The sequence below is a fragment of the Homo sapiens genome, chromosome 11 (assembly GCF_000001405.40).
Source record: "Homo sapiens chromosome 11, GRCh38.p14 Primary Assembly".
In the NCBI taxonomy this organism is placed as follows: Eukaryota; Metazoa; Chordata; class Mammalia; order Primates; family Hominidae; genus Homo; species Homo sapiens.
In genome coordinates this window covers 105,906,462-105,927,944 of record NC_000011.10, presented here as the reverse complement: position 1 = coordinate 105,927,944, position 21,483 = coordinate 105,906,462, and the positions used below count along the sequence as shown (strand labels likewise).

The window sequence follows — 21,483 nt, the reverse complement described above, 5'->3', positions numbered from 1 at the left end:
TAGAAAGTAATAAAATATATGTTCTGTCTTCTATGCTATTAAATATTCTAGTGTTTAAACAATTGACATAAATATAAAATGTGTTCGTTTTTACCTAGTTCGATATTCATAAAAATGTCACTCTGGCGAACTTTTTAATTTTTGGGTTTTGAAGTCACAAAATGAATGCCTATCTGTTATCAGACATTACCAAATGTATAGCTCTGGATTTAAAAAGACTAGAAAAAGGGTTTTTTGATAAAAAAAATTCATCCCCATAATGGAACAAACACTAAAAAAAACTAAAATAAAAACCTCTATTGTTCCGATGGAAGGTCAAAGGGACATACAATGCAATTACATCCATATATATAATGCAATTATACATGTATCCATATATGTAATACAATTATATCAGTTGGAAAATTTTTATCTGCAAAGCAGAGAAATCAGCACAAACTAAATGCCATACAATGTCCTAGAGAGGGGCCTAGAATGGAAAAGTTCTTGCTGTTATTACCTTGTGAGAAAGCAAATATGTTGCTGTGAAGTTCATTGTTACAGAATAGGTTATAGAATAATATAACTCATATAAGTAGTATAATCTGCAATTAAGGTTTTGTGTTTCAAACGCAGCAAGTTGAATGTATTCTTCAAACGTCAAGTTTTCATTTTTACGCTCTCAGCCCAAAAGCAGACATAAATCCAATCTTACCAGATCCAATATTATCATAGCATTATCAACATTGGAATGTTTTGGATAAATTATGTTATAAAGTTGTTTTAATTACCTTTTCATTGTTACTATGCCTTAGAGAGTGTTCCTCTTGCAATATGAATAAGTCAATTACCTTTTGCAAATTAAAGTGATTATAAAATCCAGTTAGAAGTACTAGCCTTAAACATAGCTATTACTATTGTGTTTGTAAACCTTATAATAGCTAAAGCCCATGGTATAATTGTTGGAAAAATTGCCTGAATTTCAAAATGATAAACATTTCATTTTTAGTTTTTCCCTTAACTTACTCTGAAGAATTCTTTTGTTGATCCTGAATCCAGTGTTCCATAGGCAATTTCTGTTTGTTTGGCCAGGTCTTCTGCACTTTCTATGGGAGAGACCATTCGCTCAACCGTCAGGAAAGCAGCGAGGTTAGCAGTATAAGATGATATAATGATGAGTGTAAAGAACCACCAAACACCTCCAACAATTCGACCTGAGAGGGATCTAAACATGGATAAAATAATGCACATTTTCCTTTCTTTAACCAACATAGAGAAAGAAAAGAAATACCGTCAATTCACCATGCATATTTAAAAATAACAATTGCCAAGTATTGTTTTATTTTCTGAGAGTCTGCTCAAGAATGATTCTGAATTTCTGTATAATCTGATGTCTTCTATGGTGTATTTAATATATAAATGCCACTGAAAATATGACAACCATTTCCTTTTTATTGTTTAAAGAAAATGGCAGAAATGTAAAACTTAATAGCTTTTCTTCAGCTGCTCAAGGGGAATACTTAGTTGAATTCATTAATACTCTCCTGCCCTCATTTCTTAGCATCTCTGAAATTAGGATGCAGCCTATGGTTGATGAGATAAAATATAGTATCATGGTTTAATTGGCAGCATTGTTTCTCTGTTTGTGGTACATAAATTAGCAATACCTATGAACAGTGACTGCAGTCTTAGATTTGATGCAAGTTTGTAAATACCTTTCTGAGACTAAAGGAAATAACTTGTTTTACCTTCAGTCAGAGCCCTGCCAGGATGATGGGATGTAGGCCAAGGTGAGATTGGACCCGAAGAGCGTCTAGAATTGGTCTCGAAGTGACCATAGTTGAGGCTTTTTTTGTTTGTTTGCTTGATAGTCCATTCCTGAGCTAAGTGGAGGTTGAACCATGTCTCAAAGTTATCTTTACACACTCATATACGATTTTCTCTCTTTTCACTCTTTCTCTGGTATCAAGGATGTGTGGGTGAGTGTGAGTGCAGAGCAAATGTGAGAAGGGGGTGAGTAAAAAAATCCAGAGAATGTTCATCATTGAACTCACTTATTGTAACCATCAAACTACTTAAAATTCCTGGGGCAAATTGTTGTAAAACATTTGTTTTAAAACTTGAAGAATGATTTCATATTTTTCATAGCATTTCCAAAGTTAAAATACTCCCTTATTATAATACTTGCTATTATAAAAGAGACACCTATTGGGTTTAACTTAATATTTGCTTAATCCTGGCTTTTAAAAGCCATTGCTTGACTTACTTTGATTTCTTTTTAGTTCATTAATTGAAAGTTTTCAAGTCAGATTCCTATGTTATTGGAATTTAAACATATTTATAATTTTCCTAGGTCTTAAGAAACACAAATTGCATTGTGCCCAAAATGCCTCTTTTTTGAGAAAGCATACATTTCTATAAAGAAAGAAATCCATATATTTGTGATGCTAATATATAGTCAACAATTAAAGTAAATACTTTTCTTCTCATACCTTCAGCTACTTTCTCTATGAGAAAAGTAAGGCATTTTTTCTTGCAAAAGAAGCCTGCATTTTTGGTGAATATAATGGTTAAATGATATCTTAGTGGTATCCAAAGGAAGGGAGCCATGACTCCACAGATATTGAAAAACATTTCCATAAAACTAGCATAGTGTTTGCATGGTTGGCTTTTTGCCTATTGCTTAGCTAATTTATGCATTGCTATATAAAACAATGTATATCTGGTACCTACTATCTTGACTCAGGTTCCAGGTATCTCCCTTAAGCTATGTGAGATAAGAATTAAGTCCAACATTAATTTCTGAAAATGAGCAACAACAACAATAGTAGGAAAAAATTGCAATAATAGCAAAAGTGTTTGTTTTTTAAAAGGAAACAAAATGGAAATGAATTCCTGTTCTATAATTTAGGTTCCAGTTTCCATTTGTCAAACCAATGAATGAAATATTAATACTAAATGATTTTTGAGAGCTCTGATGGATTGCATAGTTTCTTTGCTATTGAGAAAGTTAATATTTATGATATATCCATATTTTGTGCTAACTTGGAAGAAATTGCTATTTGGGAATTGCAAGTCTTTTTCTGTGTTTCAAATAGTCCTCTGTCTTCAGGAAAAGAACATGTAGAGAGATAATCTGCACAACATTTAGAATTACTGGGAAATCAGTGAAGAACTTAAGAGATTTGAAACTAACCTGGGTGAAATGTCACATCCTTGCTGCATAAAAGCACCCAGGGAAAACCAGAGGCTGTTAAAGATGCCAAACTCATTGGGAGGCTGGTCGCTGGGTCCTTCCTTTCCGTCCTCTGGCTCTTCTGTGTGCCACTCATATGGACTAAATCTACTAACTAGGAATAAGACCACGCTGACACCAATGTAGGCAAAGACTATGCACATCCAAATCTCATAGGCCAGAGGATCCAAGAAGGAAAACACTCCTGGTTTGGATTTCTGAGGCTTTTTGATCATGATAGATATGCCCAAACTCATGAAGGGCTTAGAAAAGTCAATGACCTCCTCTCGTACCAAAGTGATTGTCAGAGGGGCAATAGCAATCTCTGCTTTCTATAAGAGAAAAAACACATGGAGACACATAGGTTAATGAATTTCATGAAGCAATTAGCACTGGAATGATCCATTTAAAGCTAACCAGTCATGCGTTTATTCTACATTTATTTTTGGAGTGCCAACAATGTATAAGCCTAGTGATAGACACAAACATGAATAATAATTTTTTCATAAGATATTACTTAAATTGCACAAAACATTTTAATATGTTCCAGTAATTAGATAAAAGGATAGAAAACAGAGTAAGAGTGGATAAGCAAAAATAACTTGAACTCAAATTACTGTATTAGTCTTTAAGGATCTGGGACAGTGCAGAGGAGACTTGACAGTCTTTCCATATGGCTGAATTTGTGAATTTCCTGGCCAGGAACGCTGCTATGTTGCAGCCTTTTCTGTTTCATTTGGAGCATTGCCACTGATTCATTACTTGGCCATCCCTTAATATTATGAATTGCAAATTTCAAACAGTCTTTTCTTTTTTATTCCTTTCCAGCTATGAGTAAACAGATCATAAAGCCTGTGCTTGTATGATAAAAGAAAATCCGTTGTTTGACGATATTTTCCAATTCAGCACACACACAAAAATCTGGAAATTGGCATTTATTTCTTGCTATTCACATATTTTGATTTCTTTATCTTCATTTAAAAAAAGATTTTGAAAAACAGTAGATTCATTTCTCAGGTATTATAATCATAAGGCACTAGCCTCCATTTTCAGAGTTCTGTCATTTTGAGCAATTTTTCTGAGCTTGTTTCTACAGCTATAAAATGAGGATACTTTTTCCCTGTTTACCTCATAACGTTATTGTGATTATTTATTAGAAGCCTTAATAAGGTAATAGTGAGCATTTATTGAGGGATTCTGTGGCTGATGCTGATCTGATGCTGATCTAAATATTTTGAATAGCTTCTCTTTTACTCCTCATAAGAATCATATGTTTATCATTGTCTAGATGATGAAACTGAGATTCAGAGAAGGGAGATTCACATATCATGGCAGCTCTGGGATTTGAGCCTGGGCTGCTTCTATTAAATCACCACCACCTCTAAAATCAAGTGAAATAAGGTGTAGAGTGTCAATCACCCCACCTCTAAAATCAAATGAAATCAAGTGTAGTGTGAAAACTAAACTGTCGCATGATCTACAAATAAAAGGGAGTTTTGATTGTTTATTTTAAAAGGAATATACTTGATATTAAAATGGAGTCAGAAACATGCTCAGACATACAAATTCTTACATAGAGGCTGCCACTCTTGCAATGACTCCTACCTATCCTCAGGCTCCTGGTTCTATACAGTGGCCAAGGGCTTGCTACAAGGGCAACTGGGGGGTTAGAATGGGGAAGGCACGTTTTAGTCACGTCTCCCTGGGTGACTGAGAATTGACCACATATGCCTTCAAGAGGGAATAAACTTTGTTCAAATCATAAAAGCCCATATATACAAGAGTCAGACCATTGCTGGAAGGTTATTATTTTCCCCATAGCTATCATTATGTATATAGTTTTTGTTACATAAGTGATATGTGAACTAGCTGTAGAAAAATCAGTATATTTTAATTATTTTATTAGTATGACCCAGCCCATTAGGAAATGTTATCTTTTCCCATCACCTACTCTTGTTTTTTCTTTCTATATACTCTGAGAGACTTTGTTCTATGAAGAGTATTTTTAATTTCTTTTAAAAAGGAATAATGTAGAACATTATATCTTACAATTCTTTTTCTCTTCTCAAATAATATAATGAACACTTTTCCATTTCAGTATACAAGTTAAAAGTAAGTTTTAATGATTGCAAATGCTTTATTGGAAAAATGTCAAAATGTACTCAATCATTTATTAAGTTTGAGGGATATTCATATTGTTTCCAGCTTTACAAAATTTAAAACAGTGAAGCTATGAACATCTTTGAGGACAAATCCTAACACATGCTTTAATTATTTAAGATAAATTTCTAGAAATGGAATGGCTGGTCTAAACAGTAATAATCTTTTTAATGCTTATAATGTACTTTGCCCAACTTTTCTTCAGAAAGATTATGCAAATTTCTACCATCCCCAGCACTATGCAAAGGCATGTTCAGCTTTAAACCTCAGAAAAGTTCTGTTTACTTGTCTTCACCAATTTTCTGGAAGGAAATTAGATATTCTTGTACTAATTTGAATTTGTTATTATAAAACGAATAGCTACTTGTTCTTTTATGTATTACTGTAATAATCTGCCCCCACTTTTCCATATTGAGTATTCATTTTTTTACTTCCTAATTTGTGAGCACTTTAAAATGTATTTAAAATATTCACTTTTATTTCCCATATATGTTGCAATTTTTTTCCCTAATCATCAATTGTTTTGTTTCCATAACTTAATTCAAGGTCTTTTCTTGCAATACATAGGTTTTAAATTTTGTTGTAGCCATATAAAATTATTTTTGTGTGTGTTTTCAGCCTTTGGTTTCATGTTCTAGAAAAATCATTTTCCTATCAATATTATGTATTTTATTCTAGTATCTATAATTCTCCTATCACTTTTTGGTATCTTCCATGATGAAGTGTTAGAAAATTGTTAATTCTCCAAGTAGTCATCCTCCTGTACCAACAGGAATAAATAAATAACACATCTTTTCACTTACTTGAAATGCCTCCTTTCACATACTACATTGTTCTGTGAGGTATCTTCTGAAATTTTTAATTTACACAAGTTCCCACTAGTGAGGGAAGAAGCCTTAAAAAGACACATGAAGAGAAATACAGGTGTTTTCTGAAGAGAAAACTAAGTGCCATAGAAAGTGAACGTTGTATGAAGGTGGTGACATCCATGTCCAATGAGGGACACTTTCAAAAAGTTAGAGATAGGTGAGAGTCTAGAAAGAGACTAGTAGAGATAGGTTACACATGGGCTTCCTCTGCCAACATCGGGGATGTTGCATGTGCATTGTTTCATGACCTCTCAGTAATTCCCAAAATTGAGTGTGTAAAATGTCTCCACAGGTAATTCTGGTGCTAGTGGACCATGGAATGTGCTTTGAGAATTATTCCCTTGGACTAAAACACACACACACACACACACACACACACACACACACACACACACCCAAGTGTGGTAGAGGCCAAGGAAATGACCCTGAAGCAGCACACTGCAGGAAATCAGGGTGAGCTGGCTTTAGTGCACAGGCATGGTAGCAAAAAGGACCTGAGTGTGAGAGAGGTTCTGGGCTTCTGGGTCTCACACATGGTGTGTTGGATAACATGTAAATGCCTCACAGACAATCTGTTCATTACAATTATAGCAACAAAGTTTGCAAGGAGTAAAGTAAAAAAATATAGTGAATCCAAATTTAATAATTTTGCAGAGTTAATCACCTAGATATAATAGACTTTGTTCTATAGAAGAGAATGGATTTAGTTTTACCTAGGGCCCTGGGAACCAGGCACTCATGTATGTGTTTGCAGTAGGAAAACAAACAAACAAAAAAACGTTGAGAAACAATATAGACTTTGCAGACACCAAAATGGAAAGTACCTAGACTGTGGAGTGTGTAAGAGACCTGGAAGAAGATTCCTTTTGGGAAAAGAGTGGACAACTCAAGCATCAGAGATTGGAGTCTTTAACCACTTGCAGACTGGCTGAGGAATGAATATGAATATAATATTAATAACCATTATGTTATCTTTTGTCTCTTTGAGAACTGCATAACTTTGGGACTTTTTGTTATTGTGACATGTATAGGACTGACATAACTTTTTCACTAATTATGCTACTCCCTTCATATCCTTTGTTTTCATTATTTAAACAATTTTCCCTGAATGAAATGTGGTCAGAACACTTGCAAAAGAGCGAGTCTGGGCTGCCCAGTGGGTAGGGACTCCAGAGAAGAGATGTATGACAAATGCCTCAGAAAGTAACTCACGTCAGTTATGCTGTTCATAACTAACTGGTAATCCAAGTATGATTTTTTGAGATGAAATATGTAAGAGTGTTTTCTAAAGGAAATGAATTACAGTAGTTCCAACAACTTCGATATTGTTAACATCTAAGTTATGCTTACTGTATCAAAAGTTTAAAATATTAACCAAAGAACAAATGCTTTAGAAACCCTTTTCCTTTGGAATTTAAAGCTCAATATGAAACAGTCGATGAACTCTGTGGTAAAATACATTTTGCTATTTTTTAAACTGCATTTTTTTTTCTCATTTAGGGTCACCTAAGCAGTCAGCAATTCTTTCCTATGGATATAAAACTAACCAATTGCTTCATAATGTCTAACAATTTCCTCATTCTGCATAGGTTTTAGCTGCTTTACTGTACTGTACAAAGAATGTTCATTGCTTCATGGTCTAAAAGGCAAGATGCAGAATCGTCTGCCTTTTTATCAGAAGGCAGTTTTGCCTTCTGAATTGAAGTTTTGGCTTGGAAAGTGAGTCCCTCCTAGGACTTCAGTTATGTTCTAAATCTTTCTATCTTTATTGTTTTCTGAAGAAGATGACTGTCTGTGTAATTCTCCATTTCCAAGGGGTCTTGTGAGGATTAATCAGACTACATTTTGAAGGTGAAATATAAGTTGGCTTTTAGGAAATTTCATATTACATTTCGAGTATGTGTTACTTCATTGGTTACTCGATGAATAGAGTTTCCTACAAGCTACAGATTTAGTTTCTGGACTTCTGAAATATTGTGCTATCACTAGCATGTGATAATTGCCAGTTTGATTTTGACATTTACAGTGGTAGCTGAAGACATTGATCTTGATATTGCTCTGATTCAGGCAGGAACATTTATGTTGTATTTGCCTTCAGCTATGAATGTGTACACTCAATATCAGGTACACTCAAGGGAGGCGCATAACATGCTTTCATGTGAGGCCCACTTTGGAATAAATTCTGGCTTTTGTGTTTTGCTATGTATACTATTATAAAAAATGATGGCACTGCATAAAGTTTAAATTTACTGTGTTCAGCAGAATTGTGAGAATCTGACATTATTGATGAATATTTAATAGAGGATAAAGTAATATAGTGATTGCCTCACCAATTACTTAAAAGATATCTATGAGTAATTACAAACAATGGAGGTACAAATAACTATCTAAAATAATGACCATCTTTATATTGTTGAAGGAAACCTGTTCCTACAGTTATCAAATACAAGATTACTATTATATTTGTTTTGTAGTTCTATACATGGCAGCATCAAACTTAAAAGAATAGTCACTCCAGATCCTGAAGTCAATTAAAAAAACTAGGATTGTATATTCTGAATTTTTATCTTCTTTCTGATTTTGATCTTACCAAGTGTCAGTTTTTCTCATTGTTTGTGGATTGCATTATTAATAAAATAGAGAAAGATTTAAACACTGTATGTGCCTCTTGGAATGTTGCTGCAAATTAAACAATAATAGACGTTTAAAAATTGTTATGTGCCCAAGGGAAAAGAAGTTTCAGGTGTATGTAAGTAAATTCTTCAATAAGTTGATTTGCTTACCCCATAAACAAGTTCTCCTACCATCCCATTCCAGATTTTTGTGTCTGCATCCCTTGCTCCATATTTTCCATCAGGGACAATGGCAATTTTATACTTGATACCAATATGTTTTGCAATTTCAGATGCCAAATCTACACAGTATCCTTCATACTTGTCATTTCCTTCAAACATTTCATGATTTTTCTTGTACATAACATATGGGGATTCCTATAATGAGAGAAGTAGAACTGTAAAGGAGAAATTATAAAACATTTGAAAAACCTTATGTAACTTTCCAATTTCAGAATTTGACAAAAGATTGTATTTAGTATTGGTACACATACTGATTTGGTGTAGCTAGAAGTCAATAATAAAACAGATGAATATATAAGTATGCTTAGAAGAGATTAAATTGCTTTGCATTGGATACTAAAACTGAAATCTTTAAATTTCCATTTGAGAAAGTATTAAAAACCTAGCACTATGACTGTGGTGGGAGAAGTGCCAGTTAATAATTATCTAAAGAAGCATAAATTATATTCTTTGGCAATGAAATGAGTATTTCTAAAATATTTCATGAAATTAAAGATTATTCAGTAGTCAGCTTCACCTCATAAAAGACTAATTCAAGGTCACAGGTTTCCATATTCTGCATCTTATTTAGCCACATTCAACTGTGACTTCCTTTAAGAAAAAGGTTACGTCATTTTTCTTTGATCTCTAGTGTTTGGCAAGATGCTTGTCTCAGAGCAGGCACTTGGTACACTATCATTCAAAGAAAAAATGAATCAATAGTTAAAAAATTCTTAAATAGTTATTTGCATTAAATCTGCTTTCCTAATGTTGTCCAGTATTTTGGCTTTAAGCATGGTTTGTGCTCCATGAAATTTAATTATATTATAAAACATTTCCCTAGTGATGCTGATAATTTTCCTCCAGTTGTAATGAGCATACACTTGAGGTGATACTCCCATTTAGTTTTCTAAGCAAGTGAGACAGAAAATTTGATGAATAATTATGGTGAAAATCCTGATAAAATGAAAAAGTTTATCAGTGGCTAATAATTACTGGACGGTTTTCAGTTACACACACACACACACACACACACACACACACACACACACCCTTAAACCAAACCATTAAAAGACATGCACTAAAGAGACATTTTAGCAAAAAGCACTTGATTTTGTAAGTGGCACCTAAAGCCACCAACCAAAGATAAACCTGGTGAACACATAATATGGAGAGAGTCCCTGGTCACATCTGAGTTTTTCCAGTCATTTGCAGACAAGGAGTGACCACCTTTGGCTACAACATTATTGAGATAATGTATTCATATTTTATAAAATTGTACTGTAACATTTATTTGGTAATCTGTCATAAAAGTCTTTTCTTTTTCCCCAGAAAGTTCATAATTGGGGAAGTTGAATTTGCTCTTAAAACTGTATAATAGAAGGTAATTTACTTTGCATGAATAACATGGCAACCTACACTAATTCTGATTTTGTTTTTAAGTACTTCATAAATGTAGAACCCCTTTTAAAAATTTAATAAAACATGTGAATTATAGGACATTTTATTTTCTCATAGAGATGCCCTAAATAATTCTACAGTGGGCAGTTATCCAGGATTGGTCCTTCTACTGTGTTCTTAAATCCTGCCTTAGGTTGGCATGGCTAAATGACCCAGAAACCTCCCACTTTTTTTAATTTGATGAATATTCTAACCCTGGAATCAGGTAAAAAGTTCTTCCACACATAAAAGTAAGGCATCCAATTGCCTCTTCTTTAGATAGATGAAAATTATGCAGTAGTTTATGGAAAACATTGTGAAAATATAAAGAGTTTAGCAAATGTGGTTATAAAATTGGTGAATTGTGGTTATAAAATTGGTGAATTGTTGCAAAGCATTATTATTTTCTAAAATATGCTATAAAATATTAATAGTTATTAGGAGCTAATTCTTATATTTTCTCTTTTTTTTAAAATAACCTTTTTAAAATATGGAAGCGTCCTTAGAAAAAAGCAAGAGCCACATATATGCAAAATGCTTAAATTCAGATTGAAATGGCTGTACAACTACTATCTGTAAGTGTAACAAGTTTGAGAGTTTTTCAAAAGGGGTATAGCAAAGGCTCCATTTGGTACTACAGTTGAAGGTCAATTCACAAGTGTCTGCAATATCTGAACACATGAATTTTTGTACTCAAGTACATATATTACTGTATTAGTTTGTGTGTGCAAGTTTCTCTAGCTAGTATTTATAATCTAATTTGCTAAATGCCCTCTACATTACATAATGAACAATTTACTTCAATAAAAACTACATATTTGTTATTTAATCAAACATTTATTAAGCAGCTACTGTGTGCCAGTCAGTTTGCTGGGTGATAGGGACACAAAAATAAGTCAAGTGTGCCCCTTGATCTCTTGCAATCAAAGTCACTATAATTTTTTTGTAATAATGGCAAAGGAGTATAAGATGTGGGGAACAATAATAAAATATAGCAGTGAAAAACAATGGTAGCTCTTACTTATTTAGTGCTTACTATGTATCGGGCACAATGTAAAGTTCTTCATGTCTTTTCATTTACTTTTGACACTGGCACATTGAGGTAGGCATTTCCCATTTTGCAGATGGGACAGTGAAGACTCAGGGAGGTTAAGCCAGTTGTTCAATTTCACAGAACTAACAAGTGAAAGAGGTGGGAACTGACCCTGTATTTTGATATTTTGTTTTGTTTTTGTTTTTGAGAGACAGTCTAGCTGTGCTCTATCACCCAGGCTGGAGTGTAGTAGTGCGATCTCGGCTCACTGCAACCTCTGCCTTCCGGGTTCAAGCGATTCTCCTGCCTCAGCCTCCCAAGTAGCTGGGATTACAGGCGCACACCACCACTCCCGGTTAATTCTTGTATTTTTAGTAGTGATGGGATTTCACCATGTTGGCCAGGGTGGTCTCAAACTCCTGGCCTCAAGTGGTCCACTTGCTTCGGCCTCCAAAAGTGCTGCAATTACAGGTGTGAGCCGCTGAGTTTGGCCGACCCTACATTTTGAAATATCTGGAAATTTTTGAAGCTATTTCATTTATCAGAATATGTGCAATTAATTGAGATTCCATATGACTTAATGAAATATCTGGAAAATTTTGAAGCGCTTATTGCATTTATCAAAATATATATCATTAATTGAGATTTCATATGACTTAGGGAACAAGATTAAAGAAATGCATTTCTGCATTTTTATGAAATTCATTTAATGAAATTCTTCATATGATCTTCTATGTAAACAGTGTAGATAAAAACCTTTCAATGTATTCTCATAGTGTCTGGCATATAGAAGGCACTAAATAAATACAAAGATATCCTGGCCTATCAGTGTTTCCTAAATAGTATCTTTATAAAGTAATTTTATTAGAAATTCTGATTCAGGTTTTCTAAAGGAAAGTAAATATTAACAAGCGCTAGGTTATCTCTTCTGAAGCAGGCCCATGTCTATTTGAGAAAATATTTATCTAATGTCTTTCATTTTTTCAGTTTTTTCTTTCTTTTTTATTTTGGACAGCAGGGGTCCATCAGGTCATTGTTTTCCTGCTGAGCAAACCAACAAAGACTAGAAAAGGCTTCAGCTTACTGCAGATGTTGATTAGAAATGCAGTTAGACTTTTTGCCTATCCAGGGGCATAAACAATTACTGAGATTCAAGATGAGTGATGCAGACAGCATAAGAGAAATGACATGATCGCACCCAGGGAGGTGGGGAGGTTTAAAGGAGAGAACGGCTAGGCTTTCCTTGAACGATGTCTCCCATGGTTGCTCAGCTCTGCTGTTTCTTTGACTGTGTTTCATTTTGCTTTGCTTTCCTTTCATGTCAAGTCCAAAAGAGTAGCAAATACTCAACATTCGCCCAACCTCCTCATTTCCCCCATGCTCAATCTGGCAAGTTGTCTGCAAGTAGCTCTTCAAACACTTCATATTAGAGTTAATACAAAGGTAGGGGGCTACTATGGGGGAAGAAAATACAAAATCTTTTCAATATAATAAATTCCAGAAAATCATTAAGGAGGATTTGTGGGGTATCTTTGTAAAACAGCCTTATGAATTCCCAAGTGTTCAATTTTGAATAAAAATGGAATGATCAGAAGGATAGAGTAACCTCTTTTTTCTGTCTTATGTATACAACCTGCCATGATTATTATCAACTACTGTGCTTTGCAGGACAGTAATTTCTTAAAAGTTATTTAAAATGTATTACTTCTTAGTGAATATGAGTTGTATATTAAGATAGCTTCTCTAATGAATGGGGTTCTACATCTGCTCTGCTTTTCAGGAGATAAATCACTCTCTGTTTAAAGCTGCTACATTAGGGCTTGTTTATGAAAGTATTTATGTAAATTAATTATGATGATTTTTAATCAATAAAATATAATTTTCCTACCAAGGAGATTTTTCTGGATTATTTGCATTTAGCAAAAGTGGAACTATCGAAACAAAATATTTATTAGAAAGGCTTCAAAATTTTCTAAACATTACAAATATAATTATTACAATTACTATTGAAAGTTGATAAAATAATGAGATCAGTGTTAACCAATGTTGTTTCCTATGTGGATATTTGGTTTTCTCCAAAAAATCTTAATGGATGTAGATAATTTATCCCATGGATAAAATTCTTAAAAGTGAAAATTAAGATATTATTATTCAATTCAGAAAAAAAATTAGTAAATCTAATGGCTGAAAAAATTTAAATTTAGCCAAAATTATTTAAAAACTAACTGATTTATAAGCTCTTCAGTGAGTGATGTGAAATAGGAAAATTAATATTTTGTATAAGGAAGAAAATACATTTTAATTTTCTGTATGTATGTCTGTATATATATATAATACATTTTATATAAATATGCATGTGTATGTTATTATAATGCACATATATATGTATAGTGCATCTACAGAATTTTACATAGAGAAGAAAAAATATCAAACATCTTATAAAAAGTACAAAAAATAACCTCTGGAAAGATCATGTGTGATAAGGGTAATTGCTTTTAGGTTTGTAACATAATTCTGATACTGGAGTGAATAAATTTAGTTTTATGGAAAATTTGCCTAAAGGATTGTTGTGTTCATGAGATGGTAAGAAAATCTTTGTAGTTGAGCAATGCATCATAAGCATCCCTTAACTTCGGTAGTAAAGCTTTGGGGAAAAAAGGAGCTTGTCTGAAACATCACTGTATTATCTCCCCTTTTCCAGAGAGTTCAATAGCCAAGAAAGTAGTTAGATTACAGAGGAAAACAGCACCCTCCCTTCTCCCAAGATCTACTGTAAACTGCTTTTCCCTCAATTGCTGTATTTATCCAAACCACATGGAATAGATTTGGCTTCTTTGGGTTATTTGCAGAAATGATTACTTTTAATACAAAAAGTTAAATCAATATGGTCACAGTCTTATAAATTTTATTGATTTTATAACATTTTTAGTCAACAAGACTTAAAGATAAAAATGATGATATTAATTTTATTTTCTATTAGATTTTGCTGTGGTATATTCAGTATGATTATATTCAGGTAGAATAAATTCATTATTAAAATGAAAATCACATTGTAGATATACAACACTGTTACAAGAAAAAATAACTTTCAACAGCCATAAAAGCTAACACTACATTATATTTAATAAAGATAGCTAATATAATTCTTAATTATGTTTCTGGTCTGCTTTCTCTCAATATACTATAAGTTTCATTGAGTGCAGGATTTTTGTCTGTGACATATCCCCAGGGCCTAGAACTGTGCCTAGCACATAGCAGACGCTCAATAAATATTTATGAATAACTGAATTTCTCAATCAATTTTATTTAGCAATAGCATATAGTGTTACAGTGTATCAACATATAAATAAGAACATACACAAAGGACAGACAACTGGAAGAACAATAACACCATATCAATTTCAATCAAAATGAATTATATCCAGTGCTCACTCTCAGCCTTCTATATCTAGATATAGGTATCACATATATTAAAATGTCTAGCCAATTCCATCTGTGTTGGGAGTTTTCAGCTGAATCTGGGGATAATTACATGCAGATGCCAATATCTTGTTTATCTACAAGGGATTTCTTTCATAATGAATGAAGTGGAGGGATATCATAGGTCCTGGACTACCGTTTTCAACAAAAGCAAATTGAAGGAACACTTTCAGAAAAAGGATTCTAGTATGTCTTTTTGAATTACTGAACGATTATGCAGTTGCAAATATCAGAGGTATTATTTATATAAAGATTACATTTTCATACAAAAAGATACTAGTATTATACTATTTTGATAGCAAAAATATTGATGGCTTTACTGTCAAACAACATATAACTTTACAGAATATCCTTTATATATATATATAAATATATATATATTTATATATATATAAAACAGTTGGATTTTTTCAGTCATTTTTAGTCTTTTTTTTTTTGATAGCATGCTTCCTAAAAACTAGCCATGCTTGCAAAATTAATTCAGTATTTTGGTTTTAAGATTTATTTGTCCAGTCCCTTTAGTAACAAGGATGGAAAGGAGATTCTCTATATCATACCTATAATGCACATTAAAACACTTTATTTCACACAGAACAGGCAAAATTCCAAGAGATCTTTAAAGAAAACAACTGTATATATTCAGAAAACAAGCACACAAATTCCGAGATATTTACTTATAGAAAATCTACCCTTGGAAATGGAGTGATATAATTCCATCATTTACATACAGTGACCTCATTTCAAGATAGGGGAATTGATATGTCAGAATCGCTAAGTGATTCTTTGTCAACATCTATTTCTTGAGAAAGATGAAGATTAATTCTTCTTTTGTTCTAGTATCTCAGAAAAGTCACAGAACTTAAAATTTTTTTTTTCTGGTAGTCCAGAGTTGGTCATCCAAGAAGAATCCCACATGAAAAATAAGCTTAAATTTACTACACTGGAGAACAAGACTTGAGCCTTAGTTAGGAATGGTCGAACAGCGCGGAACTCTTTTCTTTCTTGATCAATTTCTTAAAATAGGATTCTTCATCAGAGGCTGAAAAGAGGAGGACTGTACTGAAGTATGACTTTCCATTACTGTGTCTTTTTTAGGAAAAGAAACATATATATATATATATATATATATATATATATATTGCTTTTCAAGTCCCATGCAAATATTACACAATTAAGTTAGAAAGTTTACGCAAAAACTGCTGTTGGTTGGTTTGCATTCTAAAATCATAAACTTCTGCTGAAGGCTTGTCAGATTACATTAAATTACTGACTGGTGATGCAACACAGTTAAAACTAAGTACAACATATGAAGGCTTCTCTCTGGCATTTTCATGCTTTAACCTTAATATCACTTTTGGGAACAACTCAACATTACTAAAAACCTGAAACTAAAATGACAAAAGCTAAAAACTAAATTACATAAAATACTTCCATTGTATTTAGAGTAAGGTTTCCATAAAGATTTAAAATATGTTTTGCCTAAAGAGACGTGAGCTGAGTATATATAACTTTAAATGAGATAGAAAAGGTCACCGATTGTTGATCTCTTTTGACTAGCATTGACTTTAAAGGGCATGTTTGACTTTAGAAGAGAAAAATATATAAGATATTCTATTATTTAAAAGGTAATTTCATGAGAATCTCTTTGAAAAAGCAGCCTTAAAATTTAGAGGATTTTTCATTTTTTGATGTGGCCAAATGAAGCAATCGTATTCTTCTTAATTTTTAGAAGTTCAATAAACTATAATGTGTACTTCTCACTGGTTAATGAGAAAAATAATCGGTGGAAGAAAACCCTTTTCTCATTCAAAATAAAAATAAAACAAAATTAATTCCTAAATCATTTAGTTATATAAATCATGCTCATTAAAATCTTCACAGTCACATCTTCACTATTGTAAACAGACAATACAAATCATTATCCGATGATTGAACTACCTGAAAATTATAATTTTAAACACTATTAATTATTATTACATTGACTTTTTAAAAACATAGTAACAATAATAATATGTTTACTACTGGATATATTTATGTGATTGGTGGTTGACCTTTGGCATGTTCACTGTTTTGTGCTTTAGGGTCTTAGCATTTCATACATTTCCAACTAGAGTTTGACAGTCTCAATTTTTAACATCTGAGCATTTTTCCAAGAACAACAATGTGACAAAAGATAATACAAATAAAAGTACTATATGAACTCGAAGCTTAGGATGAACCTATTCAAAGCCTCAATAGGATTTTGTGGATCAGAACACCCATGTCACCATTGCTAACAGTCAGCTTTGCCCTCCCTGTTCACCGTCGCTGGGGAGTTAAAATTGCCTGTGGACAAAACGGAACACCATAAAGCATAGACCAACACTTACCATAATTGTGGTTACAACCACTGTTCTGTTCTCAATAGCAGCTGTGTCATTGCCAAGAGTTGGTACATCTTGAATCAAGACTAACTTATCCATATCATTCCAGTAACCAACCTGCCAAATAGAGAACATGCTTGAAAACATATTTTAGAAGCATTTACTCTAGTTCTTCTTAGAAAAATGAAGGGTATGAATAGGTAAGCAAACAAAACAAATGTAAGCAAACAAAACAAAAGCCAACAGAAAAAAAAAAAGTGTTCAGAAGTGTTCTTACTTGCTCATGAGTCAGTTTTCCTGGTATTAAGGATCCTGTCTTGTTACATGTTTGGCAAATTTACTGTTTACAATAGTGGAGTGACCAAGAGATTGGGAATGGTGATTCCAAAAGGAATATGAGCACGGTGCATTATTTTATGCAGATCCCCTCCTCTAGTGAGATAGACTGGTGCCCCCTAAATTAATTTGTGTGGCTTTATCAATAAAGTTACAGGTTGTATAGTAAAGGGAATAGCCAGATTTCTAAGAAGAACATGTACAGAATATTTTCAAGCAAAAGAAACTTGTATATTTTTAAAGCAAAACAGGAGTGGTTTTGGGTTTGATATAACCTAGCCACTAGGTAACAATCTTACCATTTTTTGAAATGCTAACTACATCAGAGATGAATATTAGTGGTCAGTGTTTTCGCTTTCAAATATTACATTTAAATTTGTATGTTTTTCATTTAAAATTTTTTTTATTTAGAAGTCAAACACTTTTTCCTAAAAATGAATTAAGTAATTACTTAAGGACTCTGCAAAGTAGTAAGCTACAATGGGATCTTAATGGAAATTTAGGATTCTTTGTTTTTTGCAGACCATTAAGCAATAATAATGGCTACTACATATTGAGTGCTTGCTCTGAGGCAGACAATGTACTCAATGCTTTTTAAAAGTATACGTCTTAAAGTTAATACACATACCCAGTATGGAGTAGGGGCAGTTATTGTCCACATTTTAGAGATGAGGATTCATTTTAGAAGGCTAAATAAATTACACAAAGTTACACTTTAGTAGGGCCTGAATTCAAAACTCAGGTCTATATGACACCAAGTCTACATGCTTTGCTATTATGCTATGCGACCTTCTAAAATGGGTGTTCATTTAATGCGTGACAAACTTCTTTCTTGAATTTCTTGATTCAGTTGATAAAACTCATGTCTCCAATAAAATGTATGCATTTGCTCACTGGTCTGTATTCACTATTTGTTCTAATATGTTTTGGAAGTCTCACTTGCCTAATTCAAGTTTCTCAACTGCCATGTTAGTATTTATGAGCATATTTAAATAGAGTAAGCATTAACGTGTCAGAAAGAGGCACTAGATTATTCACAAGTGTTGCATATATAATTCAATAACAAAACAGATGGAGAAAAAGACTTTTTATTAATACGGCTTGCTACACTTCTTGGTTTGATCCAAAATTATAAGTTCAGCAAGTTTTTTCAATAGTCCCTGTGAATCAATCTCTGATTGACATTTATTAATAATTATGTGAAATTTTTAATTTAAAACAAGTATATATTTGAGACCCACCCTCTCCTCAATTCTTATGTGTACTTAAGTCAGTTGATTCTTGTTAACTCTGCTTTCCACATGACAGTTATATGACATGAAAAGGGGTTTTACAGTTTAGCACTCCATTAAAATGCACCCACCCTGAAGATCTCATCAGCCAATTTTCAGGAAAGACAATTTTTCTTTATTAATGAGTTCCACAACAGAGAGAATCACAGATCTGGGATACATTTTTGGAGAGTACCTAGATATTGGCAAGACCTTGACATTTTGCATTTAAAAACTAAACCATGGGTTTGCAGTTATTCTCCTTTTAAAGATAAATGATTCAGAAGTGCTGGCAAATTAAAATAATAAGCAAACTTTATTTTTTTTTTTGGCCTTATACCTATATGCAATTCTGGTTAAAAAAAAAAAAAGAGAAAGTCATATTTTGTGATATGGGACCAATTAATGGTAGATTTCATGTGGACCATGGGCTTATTTAGAAGTAAGTCCACATGAGGGGTCAGTTCCTAAAGAAAGGAATCCTAAAGTTTGGACCCAGACCTCACAGAAGATGGAATTTCTCTCTCTAGTCTTCACAGCGTTTTGCATTTTATTAAGAACTTTTCCCATGACTGATTTCATTTAATTAGACAGGGAAATGGATATTTTTCCTATAGACAAAAAGTGAGTGAAAAGTGGTTTTGTAATGCTAGAGCAAAAATATGGAAGCATTTAAATCACTAAATTGATAAGGGATGTCAGAAAAATATTCACCTTCTTTGGACTCCTAAAGGTGATTTGTATGCAAATGTAACTATACTAAGATATGTGAGAAAATGTGTCTGTATTTAGGATGATCTTGGCCTAGAACATAGAGAACAGATAGGGACTGAGCGGCTGTGAGGAGCTCCTGTTCTACTCAAAGTTGGTTCCTTGGAGAGCTGCTTTGATCAGACCTGCCCTGAAAAATCTGACCTAATTCCCACACCAGCCCTAAACCCTTATAGGCAGTGGGACTGATGATGTTTCAAGATCTTGAAACCTGAGTCAAGATCTTGAGTGATGCTCTAGAGCTTCAGGAATTTTGGTTTGAGCTGCAGGAATTTTGGTTTCTACTGCAGCTCCACCTCTTTCTAGCTGAGCATCTCTGAGCAGGTTACTTAGTTTCTTTGAACCTTACTTTTCGATAAAAGGAGAAAAAAATATATATCTTATTTTTAGGTTGTCATGAGGATTGAATATAAAAATGCACATCAATTTTCCATTACAGTGTGTGGCATATAATGTGCTCTCAATACATGAAATTTTTACAATTAAAGATTTCTGAAACCATGCAGCTCTGGAGCATTCCCTCTGGAGCCCTGGATGGGGGTCACTGGAGTGATAAGAAGATTCTGCTGTACTTAGCAGCTGGGACTTCAGAAAGAGCTTTGTGGCTTCTGCTTAATGAGACTCTCTATCAGTTTTCCTGTTGCAGAAGTCAGACAAACTGATGGGTTGACTCTCTGATCTGTTTTCAAAGATAGCTCCCTTGCTGGCAAGTGTTCAATTTACAAGAATGATTGCTCACTTCTCAGACACATTGCCTAGTTTCACCAGCATAGTGTCTCTCATGGTAGCTCATTTTTAAGTTTAATATTCCTGACACAATGCCCGAGTTGATCGTTGCCATGGAAAAAAGAAGATAGATGAGTCTACACCATTTTATACTTCATATTTCTTTTAAGAGCCTTAGATGAGTGTCAGCTGGGTGTGAAGATGCACTGTTCATCACTCTCCCAACTTACTCCTTAAGTTTCTCTTTGAAAAGTCTTAATTTTTGTTACCATCATGGTTCAATAGGCTATGAAAAGATTCAGTACTATGAATAGCCCACTTCATATTACTGCTAGTTAGCACCAGCTTTCTTTTTCCACTATTCTTTCTCTTATAGAGAATGATTTGATGTTCTGCACTTATAGTTTTGTAAAATAAGTAATTGTCATTTGCGTTTTAAAATATTCTGTTTAAATGGCAAATTTTGCAAGGTCTGGTGTGTGGCAAGGAGGTGAGCCAGTCTTACCTTTGTCCATCTGTTAGCATTTAGCATTGTCCACCTGTTAACATTTTTAGGGGCCTGTGGAATATCCTATCTGCTCCCCAGCTAGCAGAGGATCTCTAATGAAAACTTGCCTCTTTTTTGTTGCTGGCTGTGTGCTGGTAGAGTGGGCTGTTCTTAACATCTCCTTCCCTTGCTTCAGTCAATCTCCTTAGAAGAGCCTGCTGTGAGGTGCAGCTGGGCCCCCCGGCTGCCATCCATCTCCTGCCACTCCTGATCTGGATCAGGTAGGCTCCAGCTTACCACGTATTAGCTGGCAGCCTGCACGAGGGCTATGCCATTAAGAAGATGGAAATCTAGAGATGGTTTTCACGGCAGCTCCAAACTTCTCACAGATACAGAAGCACACCCATATTGTAGACTGAAGCAAAACGCAACTGGGAAAGCCTTTGCCATTTTCCATATATCACCTTAACTTTAATGGTCCTGCCTCCAAGCCTTTCTT

At 33.6% G+C, this 21,483-nt stretch overlaps 1 protein-coding gene across 28 annotated transcripts in view; it reads right to left on the bottom strand.

Moving 5' to 3' along the window:
• Positions 1-21,483, bottom strand: part of GRIA4 (glutamate ionotropic receptor AMPA type subunit 4) — a 372,097-nt gene that overhangs the window by 54,146 nt on the left and 296,468 nt on the right. For 18 of the 28 annotated variants that reach the window (NR_046356.2, NM_001440383.1, NM_001440386.1 and 15 more), the window contains 4 exons: positions 17,400-17,510; positions 9,027-9,233; positions 3,176-3,546; positions 1,006-1,204 (listed from right to left, as the gene is read on the bottom strand). The exons of 1 other annotated variant lie outside the window; for it this stretch is intronic. Coding sequence is in view for 26 of the 27 variants with exons in the window: in NM_001440383.1 (NP_001427312.1) it covers positions 1,006-1,204; positions 3,176-3,546; positions 9,027-9,233; positions 17,400-17,510 (888 nt within the window). In the remaining variant the exon portion in view is untranslated. Of the gene's footprint in view, positions 1-1,005; positions 1,205-3,175; positions 3,547-9,026; positions 9,234-14,438; positions 16,117-17,399; positions 17,511-21,483 lie in introns of those variants that run through there. 9 more of the 28 variants (NM_001440388.1, NM_001440390.1, NM_001440389.1 and 6 more) reach the window with 5 other exon arrangements.